Raw genomic sequence first — 17,018 nt, forward strand, 5'->3', positions numbered from 1 at the left:
ATTGACCTATAACTTTCTAAGTTATCTATAACTTCTAACTTAGTATTATCTTTGCGAAGTTTTAACGATTAAAAGTGTATTAGTCTGTTCTCGTAGTGCTATAAAGAACTACCTGAGGCCGGGAGCGTTGACTCACACCTGTGATCCCAGCACTTCAGGAGGCCAAGGTGGATGGATCACTTGAGGTCAGGAGTTCAAGACTAGCCTGGCCAACACGGTGAAACCCCGTCTCTGCTAAAAATACAAAAATTAGCTGGGTGTGGTGGCATGTGCCCGTAGTCCCAGCTACTTGGAAGGGTGAGGCAGGAGAATCGCTTGAACCTAGGAGGCAGAGGTTGCAATGAGCTGAGATCACACCACTGCACACCACTGCACTCCAGCCTGGGTGACAGAGTGAGACCCTGTCACACACACACACACACACACACACACACACACACACACACACACAAAGAACTACCTGAGACTGGGTAATTAATAAAGAAAAGAGGTTTAATTGGCTCACAGTTTTACAGGCTATACAGGAAGCATGGCTGGGGAGGTTTCAGGAAACTTAAAATCGTGGCGGAAGGTGAAGAGGCAGGAGGCACGTTTTACATGGCTGGAGCAGGAGGAAGAGAAAGAGCGGGAAGGCGTTACGCACTTTTATAAACAACCAGATCATGTGAAAGCTCACTCACTATTATGAGAACAGCAAGGGGGAAATCCACCCCCATGATTTAATCGCCTCCCACCAGGCCCCTCTTCCGACACTGGGGATTACAATTCAACATGAGACCCAAACCATATCAAAAAGCTTATTTGCAATTTTACATTTTGAAAATGATGAGAAGGATTGGTTTGGAATACTCAACAAGCTGAGATACCTGTACAGTGTTTTGTATGGTGGGATAGATGTCACCCTAGATAAGCAGATGGTTTTACACAGAACACAAATACAAAGTTTGTTTTTTTTTATTTGAACAAGCATGTATTTCTTTTAGTGAGTACTGGAGTAAAATAGAATTAGCACACCAAACCCAATTTTCATCACTGCCATTGCTTAGAAGAAGGGTAAGTTTTATAAGTAAGTTGAATTAAAGTTGACTAAAGAAAAATGGTAATTACATAACAGTACAGGTGACCTGCAGATGTGGCAGTAATTTGTAAGTGCTAGTTAAATGACATTGCTACTGCATAATTTAGAAGTCCTGAAACCTTTCTCTTGTGTATATTAAATCCTAACAGGAAGAAACAGAGGGAGTTATTTAGGATATGCCAAGAAAAAAAGAATCAAACCCACCCTCAAAGTCATATTAAAATAGTGTTTACTTCCTGTTATTGATCTCTTTGTAAGACATGTTTATGAGTCAGCTGTGTATTTAACAATTATGTAAATAGTTATCATGTGGGTTTTTACTTATTAACATATACCTGGGAATAATATCAGCCATTTATTTTTAGGACAATTTTTTTTTCAAATTTTCAAAAAAAAATTTTTTTTTTTTTTTTGAGGTGGAATCTTGCTCTGTCGCCCAGGCTGGAGTGTAGTGGTGTGATCTCGGCTTACTACAACCTCCACACCCTGGATTCAAGCGATTCTCCTGCCTCAGCCTCCCAAGTAGCTGGGACTATAGGCGCCCACCACCACGCCCGGCTAATTTTTGTATTTTTAGAAGAGACGGGGTTTCACCATATTGGCCAGGCTGGTCTTGAACTGCTGACCTTGTGATCCCATGACCTTGTGATCCGCCCGTCTCGGCCTCCCAAAGTGCTGGGATTACAGGTGTGAGCCACAACGCCCGGCCCAAAAAATTTTTTTAGCAGATGGGGTCTCCCTCTGTCAACCAGGCTGGGGTGCAGTGGCACAATCACAGCTCACTGCAGCCTCAAACTCCTGGGCTCAAGAGATCCTTCTCAGCCTCCAGAGGAGCTAGGTCTTTAGGTGCATACACCATGTCCACCCAAATATACATATATATATATGTGTGTGTATATATATATATATATATGTGTGTGTGTATATATATATATATACACATATATATATTTTGAGACAAAGTCTTGCTATGTTGCCCAACCTGGTCTCAAACCCTGGGCCTCAAGCAATCCTTCCACCTCAGCATTGCAAAGTGCTGGGATTACAGTTATGAGCCACTGCACCTGGCCCAAATTTCCAAATTTAGAAAAAAAAGTTCAAACCTAATAATGGATATAAGTCTGTAGTCCACATAACAAACCAATATGATAATGAGTTAGGTTTTGTTTTGGTTTTGTGTTGCTAAAGTTCCCATTCCAGGATCAGGTGGGTCAACTGAACATTCAATTTTGGGGTGTCTATATATAGAGCGTTTGCCATCTGGTTCATAGCACCTTGTGTTTTTATGTATCACTTTACTTAATCTTTGCTTCCACATCTAGACTGTAAACCTTAAGGGAAGAAACCACATCTTTTTCCTTTTTGTATCCTCAGTACCAGCAGAATAGCTTGCTAAAGTAGATACACAAATTCCTACTGCAAGTCACTGGGTATATCCATCCAAAACTTTAGAAAAAATTTTATTATGGAAAAGTTCAAATGTATGCATTATCGATGCGTCATCTGGCACTTTCTAAAATGTTTCCTGGGTGTTTAAGGTGAAAGCCAGGGAAAGATGTCAGTTACATTTGTGCTTTCTCTTCGCCAATAGCAAAAGCAGAATACAGTACACCATGGGAAAGACACTGTTGTACGAATTACAGAGCAACCAGAGAGAGGAGAGACTCCTGACCTCCACAGCCAGCATGATGTAGGCAATGATCAACTGGGTGTGGGCCCAGGTGAGGGTTCTATAGAACAGCCTCATCGGCCAGGATCTGATAAACTCATTGGCAAAGGAGTGAATCAGGTAGTCAGCTTCCACCATCACGGCCCAGCAAACGAAACCAAACACCTGTCCTGGATGGAGTCCATGCCACCAGGCAGAGAAGGCAAATGTCTGCAACAACGGCCAAGCCCTGCTGTGCTGGAATACAAGCCGTCGGAGCCATCGAGCTGTGCTTTGGTTCCACTTTCTTGAGAACACAGATATCCTGTGGGTTCTTTCCAGGGTCCAGATGTCTGCATCGGGGACATATCCCTCCTCTCCAGGGCTCTGACCAAGCTCAGGCCCAAAGCCCGCTGCGTGGAGGAGGGAGTCGTCCAGGATCCAGTGGGAGTAGTAGGTGAGCTTGAAAAGCCCAGCTGTGGTCCACACGACATAGATGCACTCGAATTGCTGGCAATCAGTCAGTCCCGCTCCTGCATCCACCACCCTGCTCACTGCCACGTTTAGGCATTCTAGTCCAAGAATCTGCAGACCCCTCCAGCTCAGAGCCCAGAAAGAGTGTCTGGGATGCAAAGCACTGGACCCTTGAACACGAGCCTGAAATCGCTGGAAGGAGCACAGAGAGCCTCCCAGGAGAGCAGGGAAAAAGAGCAAGTAGCTGAAATAGGGCAGTGCCTTACACACATGCTCAGACAAAGAGCTCCTGCTCCTGAAGCCTCCAGATGCTGCCTTCACTTTCCCCTCACAAATGTCCAGAGAGAGGGACGTGACCCTCTGGGTCAAGAGCATGAGAGAAGAAAGAGTGATGCAGAACCTGCAAGATAATTTTTTAAAGAACATAAAAACACTCTGTATTTATTCTCTCTCTCTTATTCCAGTCTGTCATACATGATCTCGCAGGAAATAGATAGGTCTGTACAGCTAAGATTAATCTCATGGCCTGCAGGACCCCACACAAAATAAATCTTAAAATAAAATAAATCAATCTTATTTATTTATTTTTTTATAGACATGGGGTCTCACTATGTTGCCCAGGCTGATCTGAAACTCCTGGGCTTAAGCAATCTGCCTGTCTCGGCCTCCCAGAGTGCTGGGATTACAGGCATGAGCCACCGCCCCTGGCAATATTTATAGATCTTAAGTATACAGTGGAGCTTAAGTCTAGACTAATATACCCCAAACTTTTAAGAATAGTTACCTCTAGGGAATGAAATTAGCGTAAAAAATCTTTCACTTTTTGCGTTGTTTGAATTTTTTGTAATGATCATGTGTGTTTTATAAATAAGCATATGTATATCTGTATGAATATGTGTGTATATTTGCATATATATTTTTTGTTTGTTTTAAAGAAAAGGTTAGATGCACACATTTACACGCATGTTCAACTTGAGAAGCTTCCCAGGGATCTCAGAGATCCATCCCATCTTCCATCCTGAAATCTTCCATCCTGAATAGGAGAATTTGCCTGGGAAATTTTACTTTAACAGCTGAAGGTTCTTGAATTAATTCAGAACCACACACTACTCCAATTTGAAAGTTGTGGGAATAAAAATGGAATCATGGCTGGGTGCAGTGGGTCCCATCACTTTGGGAGGCTGACGTGGGTGGAACCCTTGAGCCCAGGAGTTCAAGGCTGCAGTGAGCTATGATTGCACCACTGCACTCCAGCCTACACATCCAAGTGAGACCCTGTCTCAAAAAAAAAAAAAAAAAGAAAGAGAAAAGAAAATGAAGTCACTTGTGTTAAAAAGCAAAACAAAACAAAACACTTCTGACAAACAGAGCCAGGAAAAGGTATGAAGAGAGGGTTCTCAATGCTTGTATGTCTGATAACAAAAACTACCACAAAAGACTGCAAAAACCACAACCTTGCATAACAACCATTGCAACCCTATACAAAAAAATACTTTTGTGAGGTCACCTGCCCAGCCACTTCCTGCCCAACCACAGACTGACATCACCCTTGTCATTGAGCCTGTACTCAAAGATAATGATTTCAAAACAATTATGTAATGCTCCTTATTTTTCTCTTAAAAAACTTTCTCTTACCAGCTGGGTGTGGTGGCTCACGCCTGTAATCCCAGCACTTTGGGAGGCCGAGGCAGGTGGATCACGAGGTCAAGAGATCGAGACCATCCTGGCCGATATGGTGAAACCTCATTTCTACTAAAAATACAAAAATTAGCTGGGTGTGGTGGTGCACACCTGTAGTCCTAGCTACTCGGGAGGCTGAGGCAGGAGAGTCACTGGAACCTGGGAGGCGGAGGTTGCAGTGAGCCGAGATTGTGTCACTGCATTCCAGCCTGGTGATAGAGCGAGACTGCATCTCAAAAAAACAAAACAAAAAAAAAAACAAAAAAAAACTTTGTCTTCCTTTACCTACCTGAAAACACATACGATGGCACACATATTCCCACTGTAATGCCCAATTCCTAAATAAGTATCATTTTCTTTTTTTATTTTTTTGGAGACAGAGTCTCATTCTATGGCCCAGGCTGGAGTGCAGTGGCGCGATCTCAGCCGCCCACTGCAACCTCTGCTGCCTCCTGGCTTCAAGCGATTCTCCTGCTTCAGCATCCTGAGTAGCTGGAATTACAGGTGCACGCCACCACGCCCAGCTAATTTTTGTATTTTTAGTAGAGACAGGGTTTCGCCATGTCTGCCAGGCTGGTCTTGAACTCCTCATCTCAGGAGATCTGCCCGCCTCGGCCTCCCAAAGTGCTAGGATTACAGGTGTGAGCCACTGCTCCCAGCCATAAGCATCCTTTTCTTTTTTCTTTTCTTTTCTCTTGTTTTGTTTTTCCTGAGACACGGTCTCACTCTATCACCCAGGCTGGAGTGCAGTGGCACCATCCTGGCTCACTGCAACCTCTGCCTCCCAGACTCAAGTGATCCTCCCACCTCTCCCTCCTGAGAAGCTGGAACTTCAGACATGCGCTACCACGCCTAGTTAATTTTTGTGGGTTTTTTTTTTTTTTTTGTAGAGATGGGATTTCACTATGTTGGCCTGGCTAGTCTCAAACTCCTGGCCTCAAGTGATCCACCCACCTCAGCCTCCCAAAGGGCTGGGATTATAGGCGTGAGCCACTGTGCCCAGCCCCATCATTTTCTTTTAGGGAGACTCTTCCTATTTGTTATTTAGGGTGACATCAGGCAGGATCATGTAAATGGGGAAATTAAACATTAGAGATGCAAATAAGAGAATGATGAGGAACATTGTGGGAAATGTTGATTATAATATTTCCAAGAAAGGCCTACAAAGATTAGGATCAGAGACTTGGGAGAAATTTGCCGTAGAGGAAATAAAAACTCGGTAGTGAAGAAAAGATAGGAAGCTGAAGATTTTAAATACGAACCAGGCCCTGGCTGTAGGACTTTGCCTAATGTGGGATTTGTACTGAGGAATGGATCACAATGTGTGCTGAGCCATTAGCAATTTGAAATATGGCCTTAACCAATCACCTGAGCTCTTACTGCTTCACCATCAAAGATCCCACTGGCAAGATTATTGAGGAGAACAATGAATGAAAATTAGGCTGGGCACAATGGCTCACACCTGTAATCCCAGCACTTTGGGAGGCTGAGGTGAGGTGGGCTGATCACTTGAGCCCAGGAGTTTGAGACCAGCCTGGGCAACATGGCAAAACCCCGTTTCTACAAAAAATATGAAAATTAGCCCGATGTGGTGGTGCATGCCTGTGGTCCCAGCTACTGAGGAGGCTGAGGTGGGAGGATTGCTTGAGCCCAGGAGGTCGAGGCTGCAGTGAGCCATGAGCATGCCACTGTGCTCCAGCCTGGGCAACAGAGTGAGACCTTGTCTGAAAAAAAAAAAAAAAAGGAAAGAAAATTACAATGACACACTCTACAGTCAGAAATGCTGTCCTGTGGAGAGAAAACAACAGTCTTCTAACTGCTGCTGTTTCTATCCATGTGTCTGAAGATTTAAGAAAAACTGACCCCGTCACTTGACTGATTCTCACTGAAAGCAAGGTAGCCTCCAAATGCCACCAAACCCTGCTCATTCACTCTCTATTATGGACTGAATGTGCCCCCAAAATTCCTGTGCTTATGGTCTAACCCCAGTACCTCAGAATGTGACTGTATATGGAGTTAGGGTCTTTAAAGATGTGATTAAGGTTAAATGAGGTCATTAGGATGGGCGCTAATCCAATATGCACAGAGTCCTTATGAGAACAGACAATTAGGACACAGACACATGCACAGACAGAGGAGTGACCATCACGCGGACATACAGGGACACTGCCACCCGCAAGCCACGAGAATGGCCTCAGAAGAACCCAGCCCTGCTGACGTCATCATCAGTGACTTCCAGCCTCCAGAACTGTGAGGAAATGAATTTCTGTTGTTTGAGCCACCCAGTCTGTGGCACTGTGTGATGGCAGCAGCCCTGCCCGACTAGCAGAGCCCCCCATTCCAGGTCTGCTCCAGCCTGCCTCGCATCCAGCCAGATCCTGTTCAACTTGCTCTCCCAGCCCCATCAGGCCCCAGCTCCCTACTGAAATCCTGATTCACTCCATCCCATTTGGTACTTCCTACGCCCCACCCACCTGCCATCTTGCCTTTTCCTTAGAGCAGCCAACCTGAAGCCTTTGGTGAAAATAGTCTCTCCCCCCGAACTTTTTTTTTTTTTTTTGAGACAGTGTCTCCCTCTGTCACCCAGGCTGGAGTGCAGTGATGCGATCTCCTGTCTCAGCCTCCCGAGTAGCTGGGATTCCAGGCGTCCGCCACTATGCCCAGCTAATTTTTGTATTTTTAGCAGAGACGGGGTTTTGCCATGTTGGCCAGGCTGGTCTTGAACTCCTGGCCTCAAGTGATCTGCCTGCCTCAGCCTCCCAAAGTGTTGGGATTACAGGAGTGAGCCACTGTGCCTGGCTGAAAATAGTCTTTACAGGAAAATTAAAAAAAAAAATTCTAGGTATAGTCAGGAGGATGGCAAAGCAAGTGAACCAACCGCAGGCTAGAATCAGATAGGTGACCGCCTGGAGCATCACAGCCTCTGTGCTCCAAGTGACCCTGAAGCCAATTGTGATCACCAGAGAGAGCCAGGAACATGAGATCTCCAGATCACAAAGCAATGTTTCCTCTCATCTCAGGGATCTTGCTGATTCATGACAACACTTCTCTAGACTGTAATTAGCTCTTGATTTCTGTTTTCTAGATGGGGCGCCTACCCTTCTTCAGCAAGATGGGAACAGCTGAGTCTGAAGGAAGAGAAACACTGACACAGCAGCTGCCTCTCCCAGCAGCCGCCATGAGAAGATTGTTACCTGCAAGCAGAGTGTCCACTCAACCCGTGCTGAGGCTGGCAGACAGTGCTGAGTCACTTCTGGGCAGGCCTGCTCTGTGGGCTCTAGGATTCCTGCTTTGCCCTCCCTCTCAGGCACAATGACAACTACTGCTCAGTGCCAGACACTGCACCATGTAGGCAACACGTGGCAGTGATGATTAGTCACAAAATCACATTTATATTCATTCTAATGAAACTGCCATTGCAAAATTATAACTGAGACAGTGAAAGAAGTCTGACCTAACCAACTCCATCTTGCTTCTAACCTCCAAGCTGTCCTTGTTCATTCCCGGGACTCATTTTGGGAGGAACTTAGTTAATAGCTTACAGTTTAAAACAAAGACAATCACAGACCTTTCCCAAAACAAACCCCCTTCTTGCCTGGAAACTAGACTGCCTTTGTAGGATTAACAAATTAGCCGAAAGATTAGAAATTATGGTTTAGGAGTCATGCAGCTGGAGATGACAAGATTCTGACACTCCTCCAATTGCTCCTGGGGATAACATTACTATTCTAAGGCCTAACATCAGTGCTTGAGATGTTTTGTAGACCCTGCCCTTGATGGATCAGCTGGTACTACCCAGACCGATAAACTGGCTCGTCTTATCTTGTGGCCCCCACCCAGGAGCTGACTCAATGCAAGAAGACTGTTCTGACTCCCTATGATTTCATCTCCAACCCAACCAAGCGGCACTGTCAACTCACTGGCCTCCCCCTACCCACCAAATTATCCTTAAAAACTCAGATCCCCAAATGCTCAGGGAAACTGATTATGATTACCCCAAAGCTTGGAGTAATAATAAAACTGGCCTGTCTCCCGCACAGCCAGCTCTCTGTGAATTACTCTTTCTTTACTGCAATTCCCCTGTTTGTCTAGGCAGTGGAGAAGGTGAACCCACTGGGCGGTTACACTAACATTCACAACAATCTTGCAACACAGTATTGTTAGCCCCATATCTTTTCCAGAAAAAGAAATGAGTCTGAAAGAGGTAAAATGACTTGCTCAAGGTCACACTGGTCAAATGTGGAAAAATTAGGACTCCAACCCAACACCCAGGTTCTCTCTGCTACCACCGTGGTGCAAGCAAACTGTAGGTGGGCTGAGCATGACCAACGAACAGGCTGCTTACCTCACAGAAGGAGGCTCATGCAGATAATACTCAGTGTAGTGCAGACCTAGGTGACACAAGGTCTGCCAGCTCATCTGAAAGCAGAAGGTCCACCTGTGGACTTGCTGAGGAGCCAGGGAACAGAGGAGAGCCACAGCGCAGACAGCAGGGGTGAAGACGAGCACGGCGTAGGAACCCATGGCAGCCACGGCCAGGGCACCTCCTCCAGTCAGGAGAAAGAGGTACCTGAAAGAGAAGGGACACCTTGGGGAGAATGACTTAGAACGGCACAGCAAAGGAATTACTGCAGATGTCACTCCAGGGAACCCGATCTGGTAGGCCCCACACAACACCTAAAGTAGCCATGCTGTTTGCACTCTGGGGCCTTCCTTTTGTTCTTCAGAAGAAAAGAATCACGGGAGAAGGAGCCAGGGTAAATTTGTAAATTTCCACCTTGGAGACAAATCTTTTTTTTTTTTTTGAGACAGGGTCTCTCTCTGTCACCCAGGGTGAGTATAGAGTTGCAATCATGGCTCACCACAGCCCTGACCTCCTGGACTCAAGTGATCCTCCTACCTGGGAGGGACTACAGGCATGCACCACCATGCCTGGTTAGCTTTTTATTTTTTTAGAGATGGGGTCTTGGTGTGTCGCCCAGTCTCAAACTCTTGGCCTCAAGCGATCCTCCTCCCTCGGCCTCCCAAAATCCTACAATTGCAGGCATGAGCCACCCCCCTGGCCTGGAGACAAATCTCAGTTCCTGCCTTAGTGGCCCTGGAACCTCTCTTTGATGCCCTCCATTCAAGCGATTCCCTCCCAAGGTATTCCACCGCCTGCCCCTGACCGTCCTGGAAGTCTGGCTAGCAAGGACATCTTTGAAATCTCCTGGTACGTCATCTGACTGAAAAGTGCTGTGAACCTAGTGTCAAGGATCTAGAAGAGCGCCCTAGGCATCCTCTCAAGACAAGTACCTTCCTTTTCACAGGGTCGTGCTACCCGGAAGCATTCCAGAGGCTGACAGAGAAAGGAGACTCAACACTTCCCTTCGAAAAGTGAAAACTCAGAAAAATCTTTATATCCACCCTTCATCCTTACTACTGCACTTTAAGATCTTATGAGTTAGGATTTTGTTTTGTTTTATTAAAGTTTATACTTATTAAAGTTTAGGCCAGGCACAGTGGCTCACACCTGTAATCTCAGCACTTTGGGAGGCCAAGGAGGGAAGATCACTTGAGGCCAGAGTTTGAGACCAGCCTGGGCAATATAGCAAGATCCCATCTCTACAAAAAAAAAATTTGTTTAATAGCCATGCATGGTGGCACACCTGTAGTCCTAGCTACTCAGGAGTCTGAGGTGGGAGGATCACTTGAGCCCATGAGTTAGAGGCTGCACTTGAGCGATGATGACACCATTACACTTCAGCTTGGGTAACAGTGCAAAATCTTGTCTCTAAAAAAACCCAAAAAGTTGTTACAGTTTATTATATCCTGTCACGAAAAATCTGCACAATCACCGCAGATGAAGTCATTGCAGAATCTTTTTTTTTAGACAGAGTCTCGCTCTGTTGCCCGGATTGGAGTGCAGAGGTGCGATGTTGCTCACTGCAACCTCCGTCTCCTGGGTTCAAGCAATTCTCCTGCCTCAGCCTCCTGAGTAGCTGGGATTACAGGCACCTGCCACCATGCCTGGCTAATTTTTGTATTTTTAGTAGAGATGGAGTTTTGCCATGTTGGCCAGGCTGGTCTCTAACTCCTGGCCTCAGTCTTAGACGCTGTCTTGAACTCCTGGTACAGTCTTAGACACTGTACCTAAGGTGATCCGCCCACCTCAGCCTCCCAAAATGCTGGGGTTACAGGCATAAGCCATCGCGCCCGGCCACTGCAGAATCTGGACTCTTTTTTGTCAGCACCAACACTGGCTTTTGGGGCCCCCTGACTTTCTTCATTCTGTCCTTGCATTCCTTTTGCTGTTTTCTTGATGTCTTTTTCTCTCATCTGGGCTATGTCTTGCAAGTTTATGCTTGGGTTCACTTTTCTTTACATAATCCAGGGAATCATAAATCATGCCACTTATCTTGCTACAACAAAATGGGGTCAGAATCTAAACAAAGACGATCTCCATCTTATATATCATGTCCATGAGATCTTGTACATTTTGGCTGGTTTTTCCCAAATTTCTTTCTTATTACTGTTGCCTTCCCAGAGTGAAGGGTGACCACGACCGTATGTTTCCACCAAAGTTGTCAGTTGATTAAGAACTCCTTTGAATGGGTAGCTGCTGTGTCTTTCATGATAGTGGCCAATTTTCAGGTGGCCAGGGAGGAAAAGAGCAGTGTTTTGTCTTGTTTTTGAGACAGGGTCCCTGTTGCCCAGGCTGGAGTGCAGTGGCACGATCATGACTCACTGCAGCCTTGACCCCCCCGGCTCAAGAAATCCTCCCACCTCAGCCTCCCTAGTAACTGGGACTATCGACACGCACCACCATACCTGGCTAATTTTTTTAATATTTTTTGTAGAGATGGGGATTTGCCATGTTGCCCAGGCTGGTCTTGAACTCCCAGACTCATGCAATCCTCTTGCCTCAGCTTCTCAAAGTCCTGGGATTACAGGCATGAGCCAGGGTGCCTGGCCATTGTTTTTTTAATGTTGTAAAATACCCACATTGATGAAATGGTTTGTGAATCATGCCTCTCTCAGAAGCCAAGGAGATGCAGATCTGCAGAGGCCTGGGAAGCTTCACATTACGCACACTTGGTTCTTCCTTCTGCATTATATGGAGGCTTGTTTTTTAATTGGTGCCTAGTTAATAAAACTGAATGAAGGGGTCAGAAAAAGTGTGGAATAGCAGGGCGTGGTGGCTCATGCTTGTAATCCCAGCACTTTGGGAGGCTGAGGCAGGCAGATCACTTGAAGTCAGGAGTTCGAGGCCAGCCTGGCTAACATGGTGAAACCCTGTCTCTACTAAAAATACAAAAAAAATTAGTAGGGTATGGTGGCGGGCCCCTGTAATCCCAGCTACTCAGGAGGCTGAGGCAGGAGAATCGCTTGAGCTCAGGAGGCAGAGGTTGCAGTGAGCTGAGATCGCACTGCTGCATTCCAGCCTGGGTGACAGAGAGAGACTCTGTTTCAAAAAGAAAAGAAAAGAAAGAAAAGAAAAGCGAAAATAAAAGAAAAGAAAAAAGGACTCACTGGTCCTTTTGACTCGCTGGGAAAGCGACTCAAAGAAGCCTAGGATTTCTCTACCAGCTCAGAACCAGGAAACACCATTGCAAGGCAAATGTGTGTCACGGCTCCGGGCACAGTGCCAAGTACAGGTTAGCAAGAACCACTTTTTTCCTTGGGGGAGAGCGTTAAGTGTCTCAGTGTGAGAGCATCTATGACTCAAAAGCCTGGACCATTCTTGTGCTTCTCTTTGAACCTATGCTTGGGGTGACTTCCCCCCTCAACACCCCAGTTAACATTGTGGTCCAAGCCTTTACTTCCCTGCTATGGGAAAACAAAAGGGGGAACATTTATCCTTTACACAGCAACACTCCCACCCACAGGCAACTCCCCTAGGAGATTTATAAACATTAAATTGTCTGTACATGGACAATGTAGAATGTGTGACTTAGCAATGTGTGACTTAGCGATTGCATATTTCATTCTAGGCATAGTGCTAATAACCCTTTACGAGAAATATATTTATTTAATACTTAAAATAACCCCATGAGATAGGCATTATGTTTTCTGTTCTACAGATAAGAAGAGGGCATTTGGGTGAAGTATATTGATATACACAAGGACACTTAGTTAGGTGAGGGAGTCAAGACTCAACAGGCTGAATCCAAAGTGAGAAGTCTTTTTTATTTTATTTTTATTTTTTTGACAGAGTCTCTCCCTGCTGCCCAGGCTGGAGTGCAGTGGCATAATCACGACTTACTACAACCTCAACCTCTTGGGCTCAAGGGATCCTCCTGCCTCAGGCTCCTAAGTAGCCGGGACTACAGGCATGTACCACCACACTTGGCTAATTTTTTGTACTTTTTGTAGAGACAGGGATTTTGTCATGTTGCCCGGGCAGGTCTCAAACTCCTGGGCTCAAGCTATCCACTTGCCTCTGCCTCCCAGTTACTGGGATTACAGGTGTGAGCCACTGCATCCAGCCAGAAACTGAGCAATCTTCACCCTAAGGTAACTCCATGAGGATTAATCCTTATTTTTGCACTCATGTTGCTTTATTGTTTTGAGAATCTTTCTCAAAAGGAAACTTCTTTACAGCTGTCCCCCAACTCCAATCTCCATTAGTGAAGTTAAGGGCCATGAGACAGTTGTGAACACTTGATCATACCATTGTTTAATCAAATTCCACAATCCTAACTGATCGTTAGATACAGCTATATTTTATTTAAGAATCCCAATATATAAAAATCCTAATTCCCAAAATAAGTGAATTATTAGGAAGTGGCCCTTTGGCAACAGATTTTCACTTTACAAAAGGACATTCCACAAAACCTTGTTAAAAATAGGGACTGTCAGGGAAAAAGGGTTGAAAAACTAACTCTTGGGTACTGTGCTCACTACCTGGGTGATGGGATCAATCATACCCCAACCCTCAGCATCATACAATATACCCACGTAACAAACCTACACATGTACCCCTTGAATCTAAAATAAAAATTGGAATTATTTTTAAAAATGTATTTCAAATTAGCTGGGCATGGTGGTGTGCACCTATAGTCCCAGGTACTGGGGAGGCTGAGGCAGGAGAATCCCTTGAATCCAGGAGGTGGAGGTTGCAGTGAGCCGAGATCGTGCCACTGCACTCCAGCCTGGGCGACAGAGCGAGACTCCGTCTCAAAAAAAAAAAAAAAAAAAATATATATATATATATATATATATATATATATATAAAAATAAATAAAATAAAAAATGTATTTGCGACTTTTCAATTTAACAGAAAATCATGTAGCCATGTTAACAGTACACTCACCATTTCTGTTCTATGTTCAGTTAAGTTCTTGCCTTTTGACTATGTTAAAAACATAAAATCTTATATGAGCAATCTAAAAAAATAGGTGCTGTCTCTAATGTGTTGAGGTTATTTGATATTTAAAAAATCATTACAATCAAGTCATCACATCTCTAGTGATAATTTTTGAACTTCAAATTATCATATAGCTAATCTAACAAGATTCATTTTGACTTATTTCATTTCTCTGAGAATTCATATAAAGGCACTTTAAAAATCACATTTAGTTATAATAAAACTTATACTGATGTAACTTTATATAAAATTTAATTTGATTGAAAATGATAAAATTCCATAAAATTAGGACTATTCAAGAATATCTGAGATCCATGGTTGACAGAGATGTATCCATTTGGAGAATTCCTGTACCATCGCAACAACCATCTCTCCTGAGAGTTTATTTTCACTCATCTGCCATTTAACCTGAACCCAGCAAACCTTACATCAGTGCAGGAAGGATGTGAATTTCCAGTTTAGTTTTACTCTGTTATATATATTCATTATCAAATATCAATAATCAGTGACAGTGAGAGTAAGTTAAAAACAAGTGTAATTAATATATTGTAATCTTCACATCTGCAGTCTACTCTGCTTTTTGCCCTACTATAGTATTTCTGAATTTTTTTTTTTTTTAGATAGAGGCTTGCTCCGTTGCCCAGGCTGGAGTGCAATGGCGCCATCTCGGCTCACTGCAACCTCCACCTCCTGGGCTTAAGCAGGTCTCCTGCCTCCCTCCCGAGGAGCTGGAACTACAGGCATGAGCCACCATGCCCAGCTAATTTTTTTTGTATTTGCATTAGAGACAGGGTTTCGCTATGTTGGCCAGGCAGTTCTCAAACCCCTGGCCTCAAGTGATCTGCCCGCCTCAGCCTCCCAAATTGCAGGGATTACGGGCGTGAGCCACCGCACCCAGTCACTATAGTATTTCTGGATGTAAGAGTAAAAATAGCCATCCAGCCTACCTGGCACGAGTGGAGAATGAATCCATGATGCAGAGATAATTGAAGAGAAGTGCAAAGGGAAATGCAGCCCCCTGGTAAAACGATATAGGATGGAGAAAGAACAGCCAAAGCCACTCCATTAGGAACCAGAACAAAAGAGCCTGTCTTTTCCAGTGTCCTTAACTGATGCCTTCCTCCAAGAGTAATCTCAACCAGGCTGTCTCTGGTCTTTTTATCTGGTTTAGCGGGGCTAGGGTGAGCAAAAGGCAAACAAAAGCTCTGGAGATAAGCAGAATAAAAACTGGCTTTCTGATTGAGGAACTGCACTATGGAAACCAAAACACATTTTGGTGTAACATTAATCATGACATGCACTAAAAACATTGCTTTTGGAAGCGTGGTTTTGTTTCATTGACATAGTATACTATTTACCTTTCCAGTCATCATGCTGTCGTATTTTCTTCACTAAGTTAATGAAAAATCTCATTTCCCAACTGTGGACAGACAACTCTGTGGACTGAAAAGGGGAAACAAGAATGTGACCAGGAGGAAGGGAAGCAGGTTCTTTTCTTTTTCTTTTTTTGAGATAGGGTCTGGCTCTGTCACCCAGGCTGGAGTGCAGTGGCACAACCTTGGCTCACTGCAACCTCTATCTCCCCAGCTCAAGTGATCCTCCCACCTCAGCCTCCTGAGAAGCTGGGGCTATAGGCATGTGCCACCATGCCCAGCTAATTTTTATATTTTTTTTATAGAGATGGGGTTTTGCCATGTTGGCCAGGCTGATCTCAAACTCCTGGTGTCAAGCGATCCTCCTGCCTCAGCCTCCCAAAGTGCTGAGATTATAGGCATAAGGAACTGCACCCAGCTGGAGGCAGGTTCTTAAGGCAAAAACCAAGATTCCCCTTCCTCACCACAACTCTCCTCCTTATGCTACTTTTTTTCGTATCAGTACCTCTTATGTATCTATTTCTCAATTCATTTTCCTGCCCCCTTTACAACATGAGCTCTACAAGGGAAAGACTTTGTTTTGTTGATTACTGTATCCGTAGCACATAGAACACTGCTGAATACATACTATATACCCAGTAAATATTTGTTTAAAAGATTTTGAGGAGGCTGGCTGTGGTGGCTCATGCCTGTAATCCTAGCACTTTGGGAAGGCGAGGTGGGTGGATCATCTGAGGTCAGCAGTTCAAGACTAGCCTGGCCAACATGTGAAACCCTGTCTCTATGAAAAATGCAAAAATTTAGCTGGGCATGGTGGTGGACACCTGTAATCCCAGCTACTCAGGAGGCTGAGGCAGGACAATCACTTGAACCCAGGGGGCAGAGGTTGCAGTGCGCTGAGATTATGCCGCTGCACTCCAGCCTGGGCAACAAGAGTGAAACTCCGTCTTGGAAAAAAAAAAAAAAGGTTTTGAGGATATCAAAGTGTAGAGGGGAAACATTTCAAGAGAATCTTTTCTTGACAAGTAATACAGAAGAGACTTCCTAGAGGCAAGACATCTCTTGGCTAGTAGCGATCCATCTCCTGAGCCCAGGGCATTCCAGGGCTGTCCCTGATCAGTTGTTTTCCCTCTCCAAAGTCACTTGCATGAGCAAGTTGTCAATAAAGGACAGGAAAATCTGACATGAGCATCTTCAGGGCAAGGACCATCTTTTAGTGAGAGACTGTATTCGTCCGTTTTCACACTGCTATAAAGAACTACCCGAGACCGGTAATTTATAAAGGACAGAGGTTTAATTGACTCACAGTTCTGCATGGCTGGAGAGGCCTCTGGAAACTTACAGTCATGGTGGAAGGCAAAGGAGAAGCAAGTACCTTCTTTACAAGGTGACAGGAAAGAGAAGTAAGAGCGCAGG

General features: G+C 44.7%; 2 protein-coding genes across 2 annotated transcripts in view; one reads left to right on the plus strand and one right to left on the minus strand.

Annotated features, from left to right (window-relative positions):
* The window catches only part of LEPROTL1 (leptin receptor overlapping transcript like 1), a 42,941-nt gene extending 33,899 nt beyond the window's left edge, over window positions 1–9,042 (plus strand). The window contains exon 4 of the mRNA NM_001128208.2: window positions 7,966–9,042. Coding sequence (NP_001121680.1) covers window positions 7,966–8,196 — 231 coding nt within the window. The 3' untranslated portion in view covers window positions 8,197–9,042. The remainder of the gene's footprint in view (window positions 1–7,965) is intronic.
* Window positions 2,365–15,359, minus strand: MBOAT4 (membrane bound ghrelin O-acyltransferase MBOAT4). The gene is made up of 3 exons (NM_001100916.2): window positions 15,177–15,359; window positions 9,226–9,450; window positions 2,365–3,600 (listed from the first exon to the last, which is right to left on the minus strand). Exons 1-3 carry the CDS (start codon window positions 15,293–15,295, stop codon window positions 2,637–2,639), a joined length of 1,308 nt encoding a protein of 435 aa, NP_001094386.1. The 5' UTR covers window positions 15,296–15,359; the 3' UTR covers window positions 2,365–2,636.
* Between the last annotated feature and the right edge of the window lie 1,659 nt (window positions 15,360–17,018).

The sequence above is a fragment of the Homo sapiens genome, chromosome 8 (genome assembly GCF_000001405.40).
Source record: "Homo sapiens chromosome 8, GRCh38.p14 Primary Assembly".
Lineage (NCBI taxonomy): Eukaryota > Metazoa > Chordata > Mammalia > Primates > Hominidae > Homo > Homo sapiens.

What these genes read in the sequence shown, in the direction of transcription:
- MBOAT4 (NM_001100916.2), bottom strand. Translation starts at nt 15,295, where the DNA reads ATGGAGTGGCTTTGGCTGTTCTTTCTCCATCCTATATCGTTTTACCAG. An exon ending in TCATTCTCCACTCGTGCCAG is followed by an intron (nt 9,451 to 15,176) that starts GTAGGCTGGATG and finishes CTTCTCTTTCAG; the next exon opens with GTACCTCTTTCTCCTGACTG. An exon ending in CATGAGCCTCCTTCTGTGAG is followed by an intron (nt 3,601 to 9,225) that starts GTAAGCAGCCTG and finishes ATTATCTTGCAG; the next exon opens with GTTCTGCATCACTCTTTCTT.